The sequence below is a fragment of the Homo sapiens genome, chromosome 9 (assembly GCF_000001405.40).
Source record: "Homo sapiens chromosome 9, GRCh38.p14 Primary Assembly".
Taxonomy (NCBI): domain Eukaryota; kingdom Metazoa; phylum Chordata; class Mammalia; order Primates; family Hominidae; genus Homo; species Homo sapiens.
The window spans coordinates 110,540,333-110,564,093 of NC_000009.12; the positions used below are offsets into that span (position 1 = coordinate 110,540,333).

Here is a 23,761-nt window from a genome sequence, read left to right on the forward strand (position 1 = left end):
TATTTTCTCCATCCTCTAAATCTAATTATGTGGTGTTAAAATACCAGACCTACATTCCTGAGTCATCCAAAATATTTGCAGTAAATGAAACAGAGTTATGTAGGGTTTTTTAAAAAAACAACAACAACAACAGCAAAATACCAATGCTTTTGTAAAACATTGATTGATTTACCACAAGAAAAGTATTGATATCTGGGTATTCCTGTTTTTCTCCATTTCTGGTTTCTTAAGGAGTAATGTAACATCAAGAGAAAAGAACAAGAACGACAAGACCACTAGCTAAAAGCACATGATTAACTTGAAACTAATTCATTGAAGTTTTGAGTCAAGGGAAATTATAAACCAGTTCAAACATATCATATGCTATAAAACTGAACTCTTTGACAGACTATTACTTGTCAGTGATTTCTAACAAATACCTCTAACAAAGACTGGTATTCAAGTTAGGATTTTCATGACATGGAACAGATCTACAATTATTACAATATTTTTGTGCATCAGGATCTTGTCCATGAAGTAGCTGCTTACTGTGACAGTGGCGTTCATTTCAAGGGAAGCCACCGCCTTGGCTACAGATTTGAGAGGTCATTGTTTGAAGACTCAATTAACCCAGACCACCAATCTCCCACAACAACGAGGAAGAAAGAGAAGACCACAGTAATATCATGATGGTCAGCTATCTTTGGTCTCAAGGGTACCTGTGAGATAGCCTTGGCCTGGGAATTGGAATACCTTAATTCTACTTCAGCTCTGCCACAAATTTACTACATGATGATGGGATGGGATTTCCTCATCTTCCGAACGAATGATGAGGAAAAACCCTTATGGGCATTTCTAATATTCTACTTGTCTATGAAACTAACAAATATAACTCATCTCAGCATCTGTCCTTATCCTAATCAAGGTAAACAACCTCTACTTTTTGTCTGTTTTATTATTATTGTTTTTAAACTTGTCATTGACCTGAAGCTTAATAACATCTGCTTTCTTCAACATTCAATGGCACATTATTCCTCTGCTTTCTCCCATCTAATAGTCTTGCTTTTCACTGGATACTCATCAGATTAAAAGTGTATTCCACCTTTAGTAGGTGCAAGGGCTCTTTACTAGGTGCAAGGCCTGTGCGCCAGCATGCACTGGTGAATGCACAGGATAATACCCCTAGTCTAGCCTAGAACAGTAGAATTCATAAGATATACGGTTGTCACTTCATACTTGAAGTAATTATCTTAATGCTCATTCATTAGCTTTCTCATGACAATTATATTATCTCAAAATAATCGTTAATAATAAAATCCGCCCCTGGTTGAGAATTGATGTGCCACATACCATCTTATGTATTCTAAGTATATTCTCTATTAACCCAACTAGTTTTGCATACACATACACACATGCAATCTATATACATATCTACATACATCTATATACATAGATATCTATATATATCTATATACATAGATATCTATATATATCTATATACATAGATATCTATATATATCTATATACATAGATATCTATATATATCTATATACATAGATATCTATATATATCTATATACATAGATATCTATATATATCTATATACATAGATATCTACATATTACATTTATACATATCTATGTACATAGACATGCATATATATGCATGTAGATATGTATAAAATTATACTATAATTTAAGCCCATTTTACAGAAAAAACTCAGAACAGAAGAAATTAAGTTGCTCATAGCCATGCAGTTTGTAATTGGCAGAGGCTGAATTTAAGCCAGCTCTTTCTGTGTTGCGAAACATTTTGAACACAGTTCAGTGTCTGTTGTCTCTGAGAAGCAATGTATATAAGATGTTATTTTCAAACATGGGGGAAGACAGCAGTGTGATATCTTGGAAATAATATAGGACTTAGAGAAAAGTGTCTGGGGTTCTTCCCGGGGTTCTGCTGATGTTTGGGTATGTTATCTTGAGCAACATACTCATCTTTCCTGAGGCCTCAATTTCCTCTTGTAGAATGAGGGGTTTAGAGCAGATAATCTCTAGGGTTACTTCTGGATCTAAAAGGGAATGATTTCCTTCTGAAAGGCATTGTTTCTGCAGTGAGGATAAATACTCAGAATTCCAACTATTCAGAATGAAATTTAACATCCTCTCCTTAAGTAATAAAACAGCTATCGTCTAGTCATCCTTCAGATCTCAGCTGTCTGTCTAACTTGAAACTTCTGTGTTGTGTGTTCTTCATACTATGGACATTTAAAAATAAAATTTAATAACACATAACATTGTTGGCAATTACAAACTGATTTTTGCAGTTAGACTGTAAGTCCCAAGAAGGTAGTGACCATATCTGTCTGCTCACTATTGAATACCTACCTCATACCTAGCAGTGGGCTTGGTGTGGAGAACATCCTCAACATTTATTTACCAAATGGATTTTAAAGGGGCTCACTGATGATGAGCATTTTTTCATGTGTCTGTTGGCTGCACAAATGTCTTCTTTTGGGGAGGGGGGAGGGATAGCATTAGGAGATATACTTAATGTGAATGACGAGTTAATGGGTGCAGCATACCAACATGGCACATGTATACGTATGTAACAAACCTGCACGTTGTGCACATGTACCCTAGAACTTAAAGTATAATTAAAAAAAAATATATATATATATATATAAAATAAAAAAAATAAAGGGGCTCACTGCTTCCAGATTTTTGGTCCTGGATGACTTAGAGCTAAGATTTCTTTCTGCCTTTCTGAAAGGAGAGTCTGGTCATGAGTCCTTCATGCCATAGGAAGGATATAATTTCTTTTCTCTTAGCTCCTACTGTTCCAGAGAAGCCAGTGATCAGTACTGCCTCCTACAGCTACACAAAGACAGAGGCACCTCTTGGAGTTCCAGTTCCACATTTCCTAATCTCTTAGAAACAAATATTGAAGATGACCATATGAAAATTTGTGTTGATGCAACTCTATATAATTTAAATCTTGTATGTAAGAAAGCATCACTCAGTATCAGTAAGCTGAGGCTTACTAATTTAAGGGCAGGGATGGATAAACTAATCCTTATGTGCCTGGTGTTCTTGGCTAGAACCAACAGCAGAAGTGCTCCAGTCCCCTCTACCGATGCACTAATGACAGGCCCACCCAACTACATATATTTTACAGACTGCTGCGCCTTTCATCCTGGAATGTGTTATTGGTAGTAGACAAGGCTACTTGGGTAACTGGGGGCAGTGGTTTTGTGAACTGCCCCCTCTTTCTTCCTGCTGCTTGTCCCCTGGGATGCAAAATTCTAGTGCTGTGGAACAGCAAGAGTCGCAGCACAGAGTGGCTAAGGCTGTAGGCAGCCACAGGCCACTGGCTGTTTGGCAGGGAGCAGTTCAGTCTAGGACCACACGGAAAGCAGACATGCTGACTACAGCATCCAGCAAAGAAAATGAGCTCTTCTGCCTGGGTTTGGTGGGCTAGGATGGGGGAGTAAGGAATAGGGGTTGGAGAGAGTGCCAAGCTGGGCTGTTGATGAGAGTGTGGGAAGATTCAAAGGGAAGGAAAAACAAGGGGAGGCACTTTGCCAACTCAGAGGCAGTTGAGCTGATCTGCTCCCAACCCCCCACCTTTTTTCTGCTTAAGTGAGAAATCCTGCTGGGTGGGGTGGGAGCAGGGCCAAGAAAGGAGTGATTCTGCTGGGTGAGCATGGATGGTTGGACCCAGGAAGGGGGTTTCTGCCAGCTGGGATCAAGGCCAGAGGAAGCAGGAAAAATTAAGGGAAAGGAGATGAGAGGAGTAAAAGAAAGATGCAAGAGGAAATGTCCCAAGAGAAGGAAAGAAGAAGGAAAAAAGAAAGGAGAAAAGAAGAGAGAAACTTTCAGACAGACAAGAGAACCACATTTCTATGTGGAGAGCAGACCCATCTACAAAATGCCAGAATAAAATAATGTTCACACGAAACAAGCAATGAATGACCACATGGTACTAAATAAAGCAAACCCAGTGCTCCCAAATTTTCCTTGTGGGTGTTAATTTCCATGGGGATACAGTTTTCCAAAACAGCTAATCATGAAAGAGCTGCAAGCTATAAAAAAAAAAGTTGCTCTTTAGGTAAAAAACAAATCCAACAAATGCTATCCAATACAGAAAAACTATGTACTACTTTAAAATATTCGATTTTCTTAAAATATAATGTAGAGCACAAGATTCCTAAGTTTCCTTTCTTGCCTCTCTAATAAGATATAAAAATATAAAGATCTTCTTATAAGAAAACCTAGAGACGGAAAAATTACAAATGTCAATGAAATAAATCCCATTCATTATTATTTTTTAATTGACGTGTAACAACTATTCACACGCATGGGGCACAGTAAGATATTTTAAAAACATGTATATAATGTGTAATGATCACATTATGACAATTACCATATCTGTCACCTCAATTATCATTTATTCGTGTTGGGAACATTCGAATCCTCTCTTCTAGCTATTTGAAGATGTACAATAAATTATTTGTTAACTATAGTCACCCTACAGTGTTATGGAACATTAAAACTTATTCCTCCTATCTAGTAGTAATTTATATCTGTTACCCAACTTCTCTTCATCCCCCATACCTTCTACCCTTCCCAGCCTCTAGGAAGCACTCTTCTCCTTTCTAATTCTACGAGATCAAATCTTAAAAATTTCCACATATGAGTGAGAACATGTGGTGTTTGTCTTTCTGTGCCTGACTTGTTTCACTTAACAACTCCAGGCTCACCCACGTTGCCACGAATGATAGGATTTCATTCTTTTTTTATGGCTGAGTAGTCTTCCATTGTGTATATAGACCACATTTTCTTTATCTGTTCTTCCATTGAATAGACCCTGAGGTTGATTCCATATCTTGGCTATTATGAATGGTGGTACAAGAAACATGCATATGCAAATATCTCTTTGACATACTGAATTCCTTTCCTTTGAATATCTGCCCAGTAGTGGGATTGCTGGATCATATGGTAGTTCTCTTTTTAGTTTTTTGAGGAACCTCCATACTGTTTTCCATAATGGCTATGCTAATTCACATTCCCACCAACAGTGTTTAAGAGTGCCTCTTTCTCTCCATCCTTGCCATCATTTGTAATTTTTTGTCTTTTTGATAGTAGTCATTCCAATTCCATTTCGAAGTGATGGCAGTTTTAGAACTTTTCAATGCACTTTTGTGGAGGCTCCTGAAGAGTTTAAAAAGCCATCAAGTGAAGGATGCATTTTTTTATGTGTAAATCTTACCAGTTACATGTGGCCTGGGGACAAGAATTCCACTGGCTTCAATCTCATAGAGAGATTGAGGCACATTTTGGTTTACATGCCTAGAGGACAGATTTGGCTGTTTTATTAGACTAATTACAAAGACCCCAAATCTTTCTCCTCCCAGTTCTGAACCTAGGCTTCAAGGGGCCTTACAAGCTTCCATTCTTCTTCTTGGAACCCTGCCGTCCCCACCTGAACAAGCCTGGGCTAGCCTGATGGAGTATGAGAGGCCACATAAAGGACAGCCTTGTTGTCCTAGACAAAGCCATTTTAGGTCAGACTATTGTCAGACACCCAAACACATAAGAGAATCCAGCTGAGATCAGCCAGCAGCCTACTCAACTCACCGCTGATGGCAAATAAATGAGTCAGCACAGCTGAAGCCCCAAAGAGATGTGCCACTGACCCCACACACTAATGAGCAATAACAAGCATGTATTCCTTATAGCCATTGCATTTTAGAATCATTTGTTACACAGCAACAGACAACTGATATACACAGATTGGAGACTCACCTGTGCATTCATACTGCAGACCTTTCCCGTAATACCCCTTTTCACAGATGCACTCAAAATGGCCTGTGTGTGTCCCACATTTGCAGCTTCCCATTCGGTCACAGCAGTCCTTGCCTTCATCACAAAGATATGAGCAGTGGACCATATCATCTTGAATAAAACTCCCAGAAGGTAGATCTACAAATAACATATGACAGAGGGCGATAAAAATGAGTCACAGTTCAATGTTACATTCTCTGGTCATTAAAATTTAAGTGCAAGCTGGAGAAAATATCTTTCCATATCCCTCTAATTCCCAACTGCTTCCTGCTCCCACCCAAATACGAATGTGTGTTATTTGTACTAGCGCGCTCTGGGAATTCGTTGAAGCCAGTTAAGTTATTCCAGTCTGGGACCTCATCATAAGTTCTCAAGGCCATTCAGGGTCAGGCAGAAATTAAGTAGTGTAGTGAGGAATCTCCAGATGCTGCAGGAAACAGTGCAGTCAGTTCTGCAGGTCATTCCCCTGGCTTCCAAAGCAGCAGCATTCCACTGCCTCTGGGTGAGGTCAGGCCCCAGCAACGAGTCCCCAGATCCTTGTTCCAATGAGAAACAAAGCCACCATCCTGATCACTGCACAGAGATGTTAATTGTGAGCCACCAACTTTGGAATAAACACTGTCACTTCTATGGTATTTGAGTAGGTAAATAAAGACCATTCTTATTACTTGAGCCATGCTCTGAAGTGAGGCATGCTGGGAATGCAATAACTCAGGCAGACCTGTTTAGAAAGTGACTTGACAGGGTGGGTAAGGTTGAATATGATTGACCCAGAATGGATGGCCTAGAATCACACAAACAGTAAGTCCTTTATTCTTTTCAAGAAGTTTGAAAGTTTTAGACTAAATTCCAATACTAGGTCCATGGGGCTCTAAGCCCAGATATTGTGATGGGCTTATAGTAGGAATTCAAGTGGGTGAGTTCCAGCAAGACACACGGGCTGCAATTGGACACCTTGGAAGGAGATTGGTGGTAGACTCAAATATAGAACATCCATCTCCATGCATCTAGATAGGGGCAAAGCAAAGGGAAGATTCCAGCCCCAAGGGAAAGAAACCAGTGCAACCAGGTACCCTGGTAAGCTCCTTCCAATAGACTGTGGTGTGGGTAAAAGATCTGTAACACAGGCCCTTAGGACTCAGCTCTGAGACACTGGACCACAGGTTTATTTGGCAGTAAAGCAAGTTAGGGAGCAAGGAAAACCTACTTGTCCAGCCTGGGTAATGCAGTGAGACCCTGTCTCTACAAAAACAATAACAATTTTTAAAAAAATTAGCTGGGCATGGTGGTACATGCCTGTTGTCCCAGATACTTGGAAGACTGAGGTGGGAGGATCACTTGAGCCTGGGAGGTGGAGGCTGCAGCGAGGTGTGATCACACCACTGCACTATATAGCCTGTGTGACAGAATGAGACCCTGTATCAAAAAGGGTGAGAAGAAAAGAAAAGACAAACATAGCTGTCAAGACTAGTGTACCAGCATTCAGGTCTGGAAGAGAGATAAGTGGAGGAGGTACAAATGGGGAAAGCTATTATTCTGTAACCTATGTCTATCGAGAATGGCCAGAAACATGAACAGCAGTGAAACCCAAAGTGGATCCATCTAAATTGAAAGTAGCTGCAGAGAACACAGAGGCAGGGGAAATGAGGCTCATTTCCTTTGATCTGATCATGTCTTTCCAGTAAAAACAGGGTTTTACTTACTAAACCTAGAAACTCAACTAAAGTATTACACATTTTAGATATTAGTTTAGTGTAATAAATGTGGTGTCTCCTAAAACCCTATTGCATTATGATAACCAAAACCCTTTCCTTGTTGACTCTAGTTTCTGGGTCAACTTCCATCAGGACAGAAGTCTCCACTCCTAGAAGACAGAGGGATGACAGGAGCTGAAATTTGTTGATAGCACTCATAATTTCATAATCCCATCTGGCAACACCCAGTATCTCCAACTGCAACCACCCTGTTTTCCCTCTTAACATATCACTTTCCTTGGAGAAAAGGAGAAATAAAGGTAGCCAGTTGCTGAACTTCTTCCATGTGCTACATACTATATTGGTGATGTTTTAAATATCTTATTTAATCCTCCTGAAAACCTCTGTGATACATATAATAATAGTTTCCATTTTTAAAGGAGAGAAAACTGAGGTTCATAGTTGTTAAATAAATTGCCTAGGGGAATTAATAATGATAATTTGTTAATAAATAATAAATATCAGTAATAGTAGACAGTTATTGAGTGCTGAGTATAACAAGCCATCAGGAACTTTCTCATCCCTTTATATGTATTAACCCATTTAATCCTTGTAACAATTTTATGAAGTAGGTACTATTCTCATTTCCTATTCTATTTACAAGAAACCTAAGGAATATAAAAGATGAATGATATGTAAAAACAAAACAAACAAACAAAAAAACAGAAAACGTCAGCTAGTAGGTAACAAAATCGGGATTTAAATCCAGACATTCTGGATTTTTAAGGCTTAGCTCTTAAAAATTAGATTTCATTAAGTTGCAGGCCTGGAACTTAGATCCAAACCTGTTTAAACGCAAATCCATACTTTATTTCCCATACTCAGTTTCTTGCTGCTTCTAAGCCCTGTCCTAAGTCCTTGCTCACTTCACTAAAATCCCAGCCTCCAAAAACTTTGGCCAGCATCATCCCTCAGAGAGATAAATCTTTTTTGCTTTATGCATGGTGGCTCATGTCTGTAATTCTAGCACTTTGGGAGGCCCAGGTGGGAGAAATGCTTGAGCCCAGGAGTTTGAGACCAGCCTGAGCAACATAGCGAGACACCATCTTTATTTATTTATTTTTTTTAAAAAGAAACTCCAGTAGAGCTAACCCACTTATTATGAACATCACTAATTTCTTAGAACTCATGTTGCCATGGTTTTCCCCTCAAACTGAATCTTTCACATGGATATCTGCAAGGATCAAGCCTAATTTGCCATATCACTTTAATCTGAGGCTAGATTTCCTGTGATTTCTTCCTAGTCTGTATTTTCTTCTCCTAGCTCACTAAGACATAAACCTATATTCTGATAGGAAGTTTAATTTATATTACACAGCTAACTTATTATAATGTATAATTATGATTTAATTTTTAAATTATAATTTATAATTAAATTATAAGTGATGCACAGAAAGCTCTAATAATGATACATTTGCTGATTTCCTTCCCTTTTAGGGTTAATGCTCTTAAGCTTTTACATAAGCATATCTATCTTCAAATGGTCAGGGCAAGAAGTATGTGTTAAGTATTTATTGTTCCTGTATCTTCATGTGTATTTCTGGAAACATTCTGGTAAGTTTCACTGAGCATGTCTCTGAATGTTTACTTCCTCTGTCCAGATAACTGTAAAGAGATCTAAGTCAAGGCTTCCCACTCTGTGTGTGGCCTCAAAACACACCTAAATTCATTCCACTGATTCTAAGGTGGGAGCATATGGATATTTTAGTGAAAACACATAACAGCTGCTAAGAAAAAAAACAAAAGGAACTCTTGTTGCAAGGTCAGAATGTCATCTCTGTGAAGTTCAGCACATTTCATGATGCCCAAAGGACACATGGGCATCATATTCAGCAAAGACCTTGTGAGAGTTTGATATTACCCTCCCATGGGTTTCAAGCAGTGAGAGGCAAGGAAGCCTCATTTAAAAGTACCTTTGTGATGCCATTAGGTTTCCATTACCTTCATGCAATGCCCGGCGAGCTAAAGCCTCAAATTCTTCAAAACTGTGTAGCAGGTAACAGTGCTCCTCCTTTGGGGTGGAAGCCATGTCATTCAGCTCTCGAATGTTCCCTTGCCATATGCCAAAAGTGAAGATCTCCACTCCTGAATCTCGCAGTGACGCTGCAATTGGTCTAGGGTCTCCCCCATTGGAATATCCATCAGTGATGAGAAATACAACTTTTGTTGAGTTTTCTCTAGCATGAAGAAGAATTTGCTGTAATGAAATGGGGAAAGTTAATATGAGTGTGTACTGTCTTGCCTACTGTGTGCTTCTCTTCTTACGTAAGGCAGTACTTGCAAAGATCATTAGTATTTCACAGGCATGAGGGATGGAAGCCCTAGTCAGAGTAAAACAGAAATAGGCACAGATGAGAGCCTACAATGATCTTCTCACAGAGCCACAATAAACCTCAAAAGCATTTAAAAACTATCATCCTCATCAACATTGCTGATGGAGCTTGCTAATGAAGTACAACAAACACTTATGGAATGAATTTTTAATCAATATTATCACTTATTATTATATTATTTTTATTGATTCTCAGGCTCTCAAAATATGAACAAAATCTGAATCCAAATTCCACAAATTATCTATCTATCTATCTATCTATCTATCTATCTATCTATCTATCTATCTGTCTATCATCTCTATCCAAACCACTGCATGGTCATACACCAAAATCCTAATGGGAAGGAAATTTAACAGAACATGTCTTTTCCAGAGTCAATAATGGCTGACCTGCTTCCTATATTTGTTTTTCCACTTGCTCCTCCAAAAAATGTAGAATTGATTCAATACTTCATCTTTTTGGACCACCCGGTACTAGCATAAAAATAGCTAGTTTTGGTGGTATCCAGAAATACTGATTCACTAAATCTGACACTGGGACTTTATTATTTTAGGACAAGTGAATTCTGTTTTACAATGATATATGCTCTTCCTTCTCTACAGATAGAATTTTAAAAAATGAAACCTTTTAAAAAGACATTTATATATTGCCATTGATGCTTTGTAACACCAGACTATAAAGGCACAAGAACTCCAGTGGTGAATCTGGCATTTAATTCAATTTGCTGTTGTTGCTTTTCACTACAGATGAGTAGAAAAGATAAAGAAGCACCAGGGTATATTTTCTGGTAAGTTCTTAGAAGAAATTCCTATTAAAAAATAAATTAATTTTTAAAAAAGAACTTCATGTTTATTCCGCAAGAATTCAAGAAACACTACATGTTTTTCAGAAGGTAGGCAGGAAGAGTGACAACTGCATCCTATGTTGTGTTAAAGTGAAAAGGAGATATTGTGATTTTTAAAATGTTTGATACAATTCACTTTAGGGTGCAGACTCACTATAAGATCCAGATTCTCTCAGACTATGAGATCCAGATTCTCTCAGACTATGAGATTCATGTCCGTAGAAAGCAATCTTCATTAGTATATAATCAGTGGGTATTCATTACAATTCAATAATTCTTACCTAAATTTAGTTAGTGTTTGTGAGGCAAAGCTAAAGCTGCTAAACCTGAATTTAAGGAAAATTAAATGAAACTAACAATGCCTCCAGAAATATCTGGAAAGCCAGCAGTTTGAGAAGAGGTATTCAAACATTTCACCACACTCTTTCTCAAAAATCAAATGAGATCAAGGAAAATCGTACAGATGGGACCACACCAAAGACAGGCACAGAGGGTGGCTTCTGCGACGGAGTAGCATTCGGGACGTTACTGGAGACATTCCCCAAATAAACACACCAAGAAGCCCAATCAACACTCTCAAAATTCTTGGCTCTTAAAGTTTAAAAAGCTGCCCTCTTGATGAATGACAGGAAGATTTGGAATGAATGCTTGGTAAGTGTGAAATTTTTCCACACTCCAGAGAAGAAAAAACCTCTGAGGAGAGGAAGAGGGAAAGAGTTAGGGGAGAATGAGAAATGTGAGATGTTGCTGTGAGACCCTGAACTCTCCACACTCTCTCCACACCCCTAACTCTGTCACAGAAGAGATGATTGACAAGCCTCCCTTTAGGCATAGAGGTCCCCAGGTCCTCTTTCCATCTGGATATCTGGGATGGTGGTACATCCCAAAGAAGTGCCCTTGGTCATAATGACAGCGGACAATAGAGCAGTGGTACCCAACCTTTTTTTTTTTTTTTTTTTTTTTTTGAGTCAGAGTCTCACTCTGTCACCCAGGCTGGAGTGCAGTGGTGCGATCTCGGCTCACTGCAACCTCCGCCTCCCAGGTTCAAGCGATTCTCCTGCCTCAGCCTCCCGAGTAGCTGGGACTACAGGCACATACCACCATGCCCAGCTAATTTTTGTATTTGTAGTAGAAACAGGGTTTCATCATGTTGGCCAGGATGGTCTTGATCTCCTGACCTCGTGATCCACCTGCCTCAGCCTCCCAAAGTGCTGGGATTACAGGCGTGAGCCACCACGCCCTGCCACATGAGCCACCACGTCTGGCCAGTCCCCAAACTTTTTGGCACCTGGGACCAGTTTCCTGGAAGACAATTTTTCCATGGAGTGGAATGGGGCTGGAGGACAGTTTCAGGATGATTCAAGCACATTATATTTATTGTGCACTTTATTTCTATTATTTTTACACTATAATATAGAATAAAATAATTATACAACTCACTATAATGTAGAATCAGTGGGAGCACTCAACTTGTTTTCCTGCAACTAGATGGTCCCATCTGGGAGTGATGGGAGACAGGGACAGAGTGCACAACTTAGATCCCTCGCATACAGTTCACAATAGTGTTCACGCTCCTATGAGAATCTAATGCTGCCGCTGATCTGACCGAAGGCAGAGCTCAGGTGGTAATGCTCACTTGCCCACTGCTCACTTCCTGTTGTGTGGCCCAGTTCCTAACAGGCCATGGATCAGCATCAGTCCACGGCCTGGGTACTGGGGCCCCCTGCAGTAGAGTAAAACTACTCCATTGGGTGGTAAAGGAGAGGGCACCTGAAGAAGCTTATGTATTCCAGAGAGGTATAGCAGAGAAAGAATCAATGCAATTTTAAGACACCTGAAGGAGTCTTGCAATAATAAAGGTATGGCAGTAGATGACACCACAGACCTTGTGAGCCAAGAAGAGATGTGTCTCTCTTGGGCAATATCCATGGGAAGAGATCCTGGAAGCCGCAGGAGATAGCTGCATTAAAGGTTATGAAACTAACCAACAGACATGCGGATGACCAACAAAGACCATCATGACTATTGATGAGACAACTGGGCATCTCAGAGGATGGCAGCACAGGACATGTCAGAGCTGAGAGGTAAGTATCTCTTCCTTTGCTGTAACTTTGCCCAAGCCCCAGAGCTTCACGTCAACTACAGGGAGGAAGGGAAGAGGTAATATTTCTCAACGTGACTTTGTTTTCAAAAGTGCAGTGCTTGAGAGCCTTCTGATTTTGAGTTTGCTTAGATGTGCCTACGTGAGGTTTCTGTCATCAGGAGAACTGGGGTCACAAAATGTAAATTAAATTTAGTATTGGGGAAATAGAGATTAAAAAATTTTAATCAGCAGATAGTGAATTTGTTTATCTTTTACAAACACAGTTTCTCTTCCTGATGAAACCCTGTGATATCTTGGAAAGTAAATAGAGAAAACTTTTTGGAATCCTGCCATCACCACCTATTTAGAAGGAGAGGCAAGGGCTAGAGATGAAGGCCAAGGCTGGGAGAGAAGGAGGTCACTTTAACCCCTCTGCGACACAGTTCAAAGATATCCAGGGGAGACAGGCCCAGGTATTTCAAGGCCAAGGATGGCTTCAAACAGAAGCCCAGTCTTCTCCCTAACTGTAACTTCCTTGAAGGCAGGTATTTTTGTGTATTTTTTAAAGTCATAAAAACCCAGAGACTAGAACAGTGCTTGACAAATGATACGCGCTTAATAAATATTTGTCACTAAGGAGTGGCCCATCGTGCAGCAATTCTTCCAGTTGCTCGAGCAAAAACCTTGGAATCATCCTTATCTCCTGTGTCTTCCTGTATCTTGCTTTAAAAAGTTTCCCCACCGCAAGCCTATTAAATATTCTCACATACTTTTCCTTAATGCTTATATTTTTAAAATATTTCTTAAGTCCAAATAGATATCTTTTGTCTTTGCTGTGACATAGAGACTACTTTTACTTTTATTAAACAGGATAAGCAATTTTCCTGCAAATTATTTACTGATTAAACTGTTCTTTCCCTGGGTATAATCTCTGCATCCAGGTTACTTGCTCTACTTGCTTATTCTTGGCCTACACCACCCGTCTCGGCTGCTATAGCTTTATACTATTTTTTTTTGTATCTGGTAAGGAAAGTCTACCACCTTTTTTTCTCTCTATTAAAATGTTTGTGGTTAACTTTGATTTTTTCTTTTCCAATAGAGCTTGAGAGTCTGCTTATGAAATTCTTCACTAAAATGTTTCTATCTCATCATTTGATCCAGTAATCCCACCTCTAGGAATCTATCCCAAAGATACACTGGCAGATACACAAAAATGGACAGACCAAGGACCAGCCCCAGTAGAAATGGGCATCTCTAAAGCCCCCTACTGTGGTCTCCAAATACTATTACCCACTAAAAGGAACCAGGAATTGGTGAAGAAATGGTTGATTTTAGGTCTATGGCATGGAATGTTCAAAATGAGTTTGCAACATCCTCTCATGTCAGAAAACAAAGATGCTGTTCAAGAGCCCTAAAAACATGCCCAGAAGAATCAGGAGCCAGCCTGAAGAGGCTCCTTCTGGCAAAATAAAGGTCATTTTGAGTATCAATAAAAATAATTGAAATGGATTTAAATGTATCAAGTATAATATAGACATTTATGTGTATGTATAGATGTGCGTGTGTGTGTGTGTGTGTGTGTGTGTATGTATGTATTTACATTTTCAGTTAGTACACATTCCAGGGGAAAAGTGTTATTGACATAAATAATACTTGGAACAAAGTGAAATATGCATACACAAATACACACACATTTTTGTTGTTGTTGTTCAGAACCACCTTTGAGGAAAAGTCCAATTATCTGTTATGATTGAGATGAAATGAGACATTATTTGTCTTTAAAATTATACTTTTCCATATTCGAAGGGTAACTCCTAGTTGTAGTATGCCAAGAGGTGGAAAGTTGTGTTTACACCATCCTTGCTCTTTACCAAGTAATAAACTTGCTTTCTGTCTGAGTTGTTCCCCTCTGAAGTCACAGTCTCACCTCCACGGACACCCACCCTAAGCTTGTGCTCATTTTGATTACTGCTTCTTCTACAAGGTCACAGCAGTTAACTGTAAGCAAGACATTAAAAACGTGAGAATTTTCCTAGAAAGGAGGAGAAGTGGGGAAAAAAAAAAAAAAGGAAATTGTCTCTTCAGTGTGATATTCTCAATAGTGCCGGGCACAGAGTACATGTTCATAACTATTTCTTCAATGAATGAATGAATGAATGAGTGCAGTGGATAAACTACAGGATAGTCTGGAGCAGAGTTACTTGAATGAGTTGGTCTTGAGTGAGTAGTTAGTGTGTCTGGGTACATGCACGTGTGTATGTTTTGTATAGTTTTGTACACCAAAGATAAAATTATGTGCGCCTTTATTGTCCTTCTGAAACAAATGAATGCTATTTTTAATATTAATGTAGCTCCTGTCAATAACATTCTTTAACATCCACATTAGGATTTAGCAGTGATTTCTTGCTGTACTACTCATTACACACAAAACACTTCAAGCCATGATTCTATTTTTCTTCTCTTTTTACAGAGAACTGGTGAATATTTACAGGAAACATTACATCTGTTGGCAAGACAATATATTAAGCTTAAAATAGCAAGAATAGCAGGACTAGTAGTCCAAGCAAAGAATTACACAAGATCTGGGTTTGGAATGCACTTTAAGGATAGAGGAGGGGTGGGGGATTTACTGAAAATAATTTACCCCTCGCCCCAATCTTTGTGCTTCATCGTACTTGAATAAAAACATTAATTCAATCAAAACGTTTTTATACCCCAGATTTAAGAAGTAAATAGATCTGTGGTAATGTTTGTGGAATGTATTAGAAGGCCAGCACTTGATTCTCTTTTCAATGTTCCTGAAATAGTTTACATCATCTGCTAGCCTTTGTGAGACATTTAAGAAACAGAATTTTTTGGTCCAGAATACTGAATGAGACAAACCCTCTGCTGCCAAAGAAAAACTCAACATGGACTTTGTATGGCAAAAGGTTATCACCATCTGTATTGTATCAAGCCTCCGATTAGCTTGTATAAATATCTGGCAGGAAAGTAAGCTTCCCTTGTCCAGCAACAGTCATTAGAATGACAAAAATGCAGGGTTGTGTAATATTGTTCTAACACCCGAGATCCATCACCATTACACAAGACGGCACCCCCACTCCATGTCAGGCTGCAAGAGAACTGTTTTGAAAAATGGTCTTGAAAGAAAAAGAGAGGTCACAGCAGATCTGGCATGGGGACAGTGTTTGCTCTTGGGCTGCATTAATTAAACTACGTGCCGATATCATACCAACTGCAACACAACCTTAATTGCAATTACCCATTGTGACCAGCCTTCACTGAAAATACTAACTAGAGACGCTAATAAAGTCTTTTTTTGTTGTTGTTTTGTTCTGTTTTTTTGAGACAAAGTCTCACTCTGTCACCCAGGCTGGAGTGCAGTGGTGTGATCTTGGCTCACTGCAACCTCCGCCTCATGGGTTCAAGCAATTCTCCTGCCTCAGCCTCCCAAGTAGCTGGGATTACAGGCACGTGCCACCACGCCCAGCTAATTTTTTGTATTGAGTTGGGGTTTGGCCATGTTGCTCAGGCTGGTCTTGAACTCCTGACCTCAGGTGATCCACCCAGCTCAGCCTCCCAAAGTGCTGGGATTACAAGTGTGAGCCACCACACTTGGCCATAACGTTATCTTTTAAAGAACTTGATCAATCTTGATGAGCCAATAGAAGGAAATATAAATAAATAAATAAATACAATGAACTAATACCTACAATGACTATATGACAGCTATTCTCCAAGGGGCAGAAAATTAGTAAATTATGTCAGTGTTTCAATCTGTTTTCCACATATATTGTTTCTGTGTTAAGAAACATTTAGTCCAAACAACACACCATAAGCTACTTGTAATACTTGACCCTTCAAATTCTAAAATTTCACCACGCCTTGTCTGTTAGTTAATATTTCTAATTTGAATCTCAGGTGTTCTTCAGTTCAAAGGCTGTTAATGGTTTTATATTTAACATTATTTATGGGAAAAGAATCTATTCTGTTCATTGTTTTCTGGACTTCATATATTCTAGTATGTTTTCATTTTTATCTCATCCTACTTCCAAGCTTTTCTTCTACACCACTGTTTTGGGTATATGCAGTGTCATTCTCTTCTCTACTTCTAATTGAGATTGAATCCCGGCATTGCATTTATTTTCCTTATTACAATATTTCTGTCTTTTATACAGTTCTCACTTTATTCTTTTCAGCTTCTCAGCCAGTTTTGTTTGAATTTTAATCTGTTGTTTATCTTCTCTTTTCTCATCTCCATTTCAAAGTTTTATTAATTCATGTTAAGCACATGTAACCCCTTCCCTCCCTTCCTGCCTCCCTCCCTCCCTCCCTCTCTCTCTCTCCCTTTCTTTCTTTCTTTCATACGGAATTCTTATACTTTATATCTTACATTCTACCTTTATTTTATTTAGCAGAAAATTTTCAAAGAAGCCAGATAGAGTTGTGGATTTTTATTCTGCTTTTTCACCATCCATGAATGAAGACATATATTCAGTCATAGTGTTTCCAACAAACAATGAACAACTAACTGGGTAAAAGTAAAATGAGTGTTGGAATTTATGGTTGTAAATTTTGCTATCTATTATTATTAATATTATTAAAGCAAGCTGATAACCCACCCAAATGATCAGTGAAGAGGTTAACCCTCTTATTTGTAACAAATAAGCCACAGCCTGTGTCTGAAAATGGATGGCCTAGATCACCAATCCCCAATAGAACTTTCTATAATGCTTGACATTATCATTTGTTCTGTTACATACAGTAGCCACATATGGCTATTGAGCACTTGAAATGAGACTATTGCAACTGAGAAATTGAATTAGTAACTTTGTTTAATTTTAATTAACTTAAATTTAAGTAGACACATGTGGCTAGTGGCTATAATATGGGACAGTGTAAACCAAGATAGATATATCCTCATCCCAGGATGAAAAAACACAAAACATCTAGAGAAGGCCTATGAAAATATTCTGTAAATCCAAGATATACAAAATCAACTGAAGCATTTGGAAGAGTATGTAATTTAATACTAAAATAAGAAAATAAGAATAATTGGCCCGGTGCTGTGGCTCACACCTGTAATCCCAGCACTGAGGCAGGCAGATTGATTGAGCCCAGGAGTTCAAGACCAGGCTGGGCAACATGGAGAAACCCTGTCTCTACAAAAAAAAAAAAAAAAAAAAATTGCAAAAAATAGGCTGGTTATGGTGGTGCACACCTGTAGTCCCAGCTACTTGGGTGGCTGAGGTGGGAGAACTACTTGGGCCCAGGAGGTGAATGTTGCAGTAAGTCATGATGGTGCCACTGCACTCCAGCCTGGGTGACAGAATGAGACCCTGTCTCAAAAAAAAAAAAAAAAAAAGCATAATAAAATGGTGCTTGTATTACTAGGATTTAGAAAGTCAAAACCTCCATAAAAAACAAGAACTGAAAGCCATAGAAAGAGAATAGGCTAAAATGAAAAGAGAGATGTGTAAGAGAGGAATTTGATAAGAAACTAATGCATGAAAACTCAAAATAATGAAAGACAGAGATCCACATTGCTCATAGTGAGATAAAAATGCCAGAAATTCAAATTGATAAAGTTTAGTACAAATTTTAGTGTAGAAAGCTGCTGACTAATCTCACATAGCCACAAAATTTTATATAAATACTACCAAACTGAATTCAAATATTAAAAGAAACTTTCTCGTTTATGTGATAAGGCTTATTCCTCAAATATAAATATATATTAAAATTGGAAAGTCTTTGGCTCCAATGCAACACAATTATTACCCCAATTAAAAGGAAGTAATAATCCAATATGCTGAAAAGACATTCAATAAAATTAATTTTTGCTTTGCTTATCAATAAAAATTAGGAATAAAAATATACCTCATTAGTATGATAGATTATCTATCTCAAAACAATAATGGAAACCATGTTCAACTATTAGAAAAACAGCAGATTTCCCAAGTAGGTAAGAAATAAATCAGTAGTATTAAGTATTTTCATTATTATTTAAAATCCTTTTGAACTTCCTAGCTAACATAATAAGACACAGAACCATAGAAAGTGTTATACTTCTTAAAGCTTCTGCTCCCTCTAAAAAAATCAGAATTAGAAAGAAAACAACAAACTGGAAAATATATGTATTATGCTTATCAAATATAGTATTAATGTCTTTAAAATATAAATAATTTTTATAGCTGTCTAAGGAGGAGAAAAGAGAAAAAATAACAGAAATACAGTTGAGCATTTTTGACCAAACAAAACAAAGACCAAAAAAAGAAATTGTATTTGCCAGAAAATATGAAAAATGTTTAACTTCATTAATACCAAAATAGCATAAGTTTAAAAATAGTAACACTGTTTTTTTTTAACTTCTCAAATGGCCAAGGTTTTCTTTAAATTTCAAAATTGCAAAATACATAGGAAAACAGATATTTTTGTTGGGAATACCACCTGTCCTGGTAATATTTGGAGGACGGTTTGACAAAGTGATCAAAGCCTTAAAATTTTCACATGATTTGAACTGAAATTCTACAGCTAAGAATATGTTAAGGAAATAACAATGGATACACACACAAAATGATCAAAAGGATGTATGTGTATCCCAGAATAATTTGCAATAATAAAAAATTAGAAACAATATAAAGTTCCAACAACAGGACAAGCACACTAGTTAAATAAATTATAGGGTAATCACATAATATTATTACAATGATATTATTGAACACTATTAAATTTAAGAAGTAGGCAACCAAACACAATGATTTCATTACCTATATGTACATGACATTAGTGTGCATGTATGTGGAAATGTACTGTATGTCTGTTTGTGTATGTATGAGTGTGACTGACTCATACAGTATATAGTCATGTATACACTCATGTACCACATAATGATGTTTTGGTCAATGACAGACCACATATACAACCGTGATCTCATAAGATTATAATGCCATATTTTTGCTCTGCCTTTTCTATAGCTATGTTGAAATACACAAATATTTAACATACTGTTACAATTGTCCACAGTATTCAGTACTGTAACATACTGTAAGGGCTTATAGCCTAAAAGCAATAGGCTATTCCATATAGCCTAGGTGATTAGTAGGCTATACCACCCAGGTTTTTGTAAATACAGTCTGTGATATTCACACAATAACAAAATTGCCTAATGATGCTTTTCTCAGAAGGTATCCCCATTGTTAAGCAATGCATGACTGTACATCAAAATGTTGACTGTCTCCTAGTAGTGTCTTTAGGGTTTTTCATTTACTTCTATGTTATAGTTTGTTGTTGTTTGCCATTTCCAAATTTTCTCTTTCATGCTTCCTTTGGGCAGTATCATGTGAACTCAGAACTTTGAGTCTCACTTACAGTCTAATGGCTCCTAAATCAATGTCAAACTCTTCAACTTCCAACGTGAAGTTCCAGTGGCCCAGTATACACCTCTGTCTGAATGCACCATGAGGCTCCTCAAACTCAACATACCCTCTCCACACACAAATAGGGGTTCCCTCCTCCTGTTTTCAAGATATATCAAATATCTTTCAAGTCTGAAATCTGGGAGTAATCTATGGTGCCTTCTTTCTGACCTATCACATTTAGTAACCATCCAGATGCGTACATTTCCAAGTTATCTATCTAAATCACAATCTAATCGCCCCAGCCATGGTTCAGGAATTTCAGTCTGGCTTCTTGAAAATCAAGAGTTGTTTTAAACATCTGTAGCTGAAGCTGTTCTTCTTTCGAATCCATTTTCTGACCTGCCATCAAAGTTATCTTTCTGAAATACTGATCTGATTGTCTTTAAACTTCCAATGTTTTCCCTCCATCTACAAAATAAAATCTAAACTTCTTTACATGTCCTTTTACTATCTAGTGCTAAATAATGCTTCCAACCACAACCCTTACCACACCCTTGCCTCCTGTCTACCCTCTCCCCAACCCCACTTTTGCACTCGATTTTAGCTACACCAATCCATTTGGAGGTTCTGAAATACACCATGCGTTCTTGATGTTTGCTCTGCTTGGAAATTCTTAACAACTCTTTCCACCTCCCAATACATCCACCTCTGATTTTTACTAGTTCTTCCAACTTTAGATCAAAGTTTCCTCTTTTTAAACTTTCCCAAATTCTTCTGCTATGCATAAAATCAGTACCCCCACTCACATTCCATTATATTAACCCCATCGTAATAAATTCTTGTAGGTCTGACTACATCCCAAGTCGGATGGCAAGATACTCTATGGCAGGAATTGAATCTTATATTCTCACTCTATTGATAACAAAGATTAACTATGAAGTAAGAGAATGAAAGCAATTGCCTTAATTTGTACTAGCTATATGTCCACCATGCAGAATAAACTAATACATTCTAGGCCAAAACGTTTTTAGTAAATTCTATCCTGCAATCATGAAATGAAAATTCATATAAATATTATATGTAAACTTATTTTACCAGATCCATATTGAGCATCTATCATATACCAGGCACTGTACTAGGGATTTACCAATTGTATTATTTGATGACACAACCATTAACTAAAAACAAACAAAATAAGTAAACAAATAGATAAAACAATGACAAAAGCATAAACTGGAAACAGTATTCTGCAGTAATTGAGCTTTCCTATTTATACTGTAATTTTAAGTCAATCACTGTTAGTATGCTTCATTTATTTTAAGTATTTACTTGGGCTTCATAGACTGAGAGTCTAGAAAGAAAGAAAAAGGTTGGTTGGCCCTATAACATTTAGGCTATTTATTATAGTCTAGCCTAATCACAGAAGAACCAGAGGGTCAAAGAAGAACTAAGTCTCAAATTTATGGTTACGAGGTTTTCCACCCACATACATATTTTAGTTATTAAACATGGATACAAATCATTTTGAAATGGACCCATAGGGACAGTACATCAAATTGGGAAATGGTACGCACAGGAGTTGATGAGTAGCAGACTTAATTAAAATGGTTTAAAAAAAACATGCAGAAGACCAAACAAATTTCTAATAATGACAAATTCCACCATTTGGAATAAAAGCACATAGGGAATAAAGAAAATATGAATAGCAAAAACAAAAAAAAAGTCATCAGAATCCAAATGAAAATTGGAGGCTAAATGACCTATCATTCTTAAACAAATGCTAATTTATTACAGGATAAAAAATCAAATTTAATTTTATTATCAATATTGTTATGAGTAACTCTATCATTTCAGTTGACATGTTAAATTCCTATACAATATGATCAAGTAGCACTTAGCCCAAAAAATCAAAGATATTAGAGAAATTATTCACATGCTAATGTCAAGAGGTCAAAGGAGAAAGTAAGATAATCTCAAATGGCCCAAGTATTACATATGGTATTTGGACATCAGTGTATGATTCTACAAACAAATTAGGGAAAGAACAGAGAGGTACTTACATAATATGACCAAGAGAGCTATCATAAACCAATGACCAAAATCATGCCTGAAGCATTCTTATTAAATTCAAGAACAAGGCAAGAATGCCTCATCACTTTTTTATTATTATTATTATTTTTGAGATGGAGTTTTGCTCTTGTTGCCTAGGCTGGAGTACAGTGGCGCAATCTTGGCTCACTGCATCCTCTGTGTCCCAGGTTCAAATGATTCTCACTAACTCAGCCTCCCAAGTAGTTGGGATTACAGGTGCCTGCCACCGCACCCGGCCAATTTTTTTGTATTTTTAGTAGAGATGGGGTTTCATCATGTAGGCCACGCTGGTCTTGAACTCCTGACCTCAGGTGATCCAACTGCTTCAGTCTCTGAAAGTGCCTCATCACTTTTATGTGAGAAGTTTAGCTGTTGTAACAAGGCAAGAAATATAAATAAGTGTAAAAGAACTTAATCATGTTTCAGATGAAAGAGAATAAATTGAAAGATAATACTGAGAGGTATTGAGAAAAATTTATATACAAGAATAACTATTTCAACTGCAAAATTTTGTGGTAACTGACCAGCAATAGGAGATTTCTAAAATTCAATTGTGGTATATCTACATGAAAAAATATACTTGAAAGGTAATTTTAGAGGAATCTATTATATGGAAAAATTTTCATTACGCAACTTTAAAAACAAAAATTACAGCATGTGCTTTTACTACATATGACATATAATTACATATGCCCACACATACATAAAAAGAGTGAGAGACAAAAACTGTAATTATTATTATGTTTTCCTGCTTTATCTAAGCTATTAATTTGTATATTATTTCCATAATAAGGAAAATAAGCAAAAATTATTTTAGAGAAACATGCAAATAGAAGAAGAAAGTTAGTAAAGACTTTTAATGGTTACCCTTGAATTAAATTTATTCACAAGTGTGTAAATAAATTTTGCAATTTATAGGGCCTTTGCAAATTTATTTGCCAAATTCACAAAGAATGAGGGCAACCACACTCTGTTGTGTGGTTGGATAATCACTTAATTAGCTTAAACAAAGATTTACTGGATGTATATAGGAATATTTTTTTCTAACCCGAAAGTAGGGAGAAGAGCTAGTTCTCAAGAGGGATTGAAACCAGGAACAAGCAAGCCAGTAGAAGCCATGGTGGCTACTTCCTCCAACATTACATTTATTTCCTCTGGAGTTACACAGTATGGTGTCTCCACTTCTCTTTGTATATCTTCTTCATTCTCTCTTCCTTACATTGATGAGATTTCTATGGTTCTCTGTGCAGTCTTAACTCTGTAGTACCTGTCTACTGGTAATAAAACCAAAAAAACACCTACTCTCTCAGGGTTCTTTGTGCCCTAATTCAAATTCCCAGGAAAAAGAATATAAATGAACTATCTCAATCTCTGGATTGCCACCTGCAATCCAAACAGAAAGGGACAACCCTCATGGGTAGGCAGTGGACTGAAGAGTGGGGGCATGGTCCTCAGTGAAAGTGGCTGTTGATTGACT

At 37.5% G+C, this 23,761-nt stretch overlaps 1 protein-coding gene across 1 annotated transcript in view; it reads right to left on the reverse strand.

Annotated features, from left to right (window-relative positions):
- SVEP1 (sushi, von Willebrand factor type A, EGF and pentraxin domain containing 1) overlaps positions 1 to 23,761 on the reverse strand; it is a 214,494-nt gene that overhangs the window by 175,085 nt on the left and 15,648 nt on the right. The window contains exons 2-3 of the mRNA NM_153366.4: positions 9,517 to 9,772; positions 5,783 to 5,959 (exon numbers count right to left, since the gene is read on the reverse strand). Of these exons, the coding sequence (NP_699197.3) occupies positions 5,783 to 5,959; positions 9,517 to 9,772 (433 nt within the window). The remainder of the gene's footprint in view (positions 1 to 5,782; positions 5,960 to 9,516; positions 9,773 to 23,761) is intronic.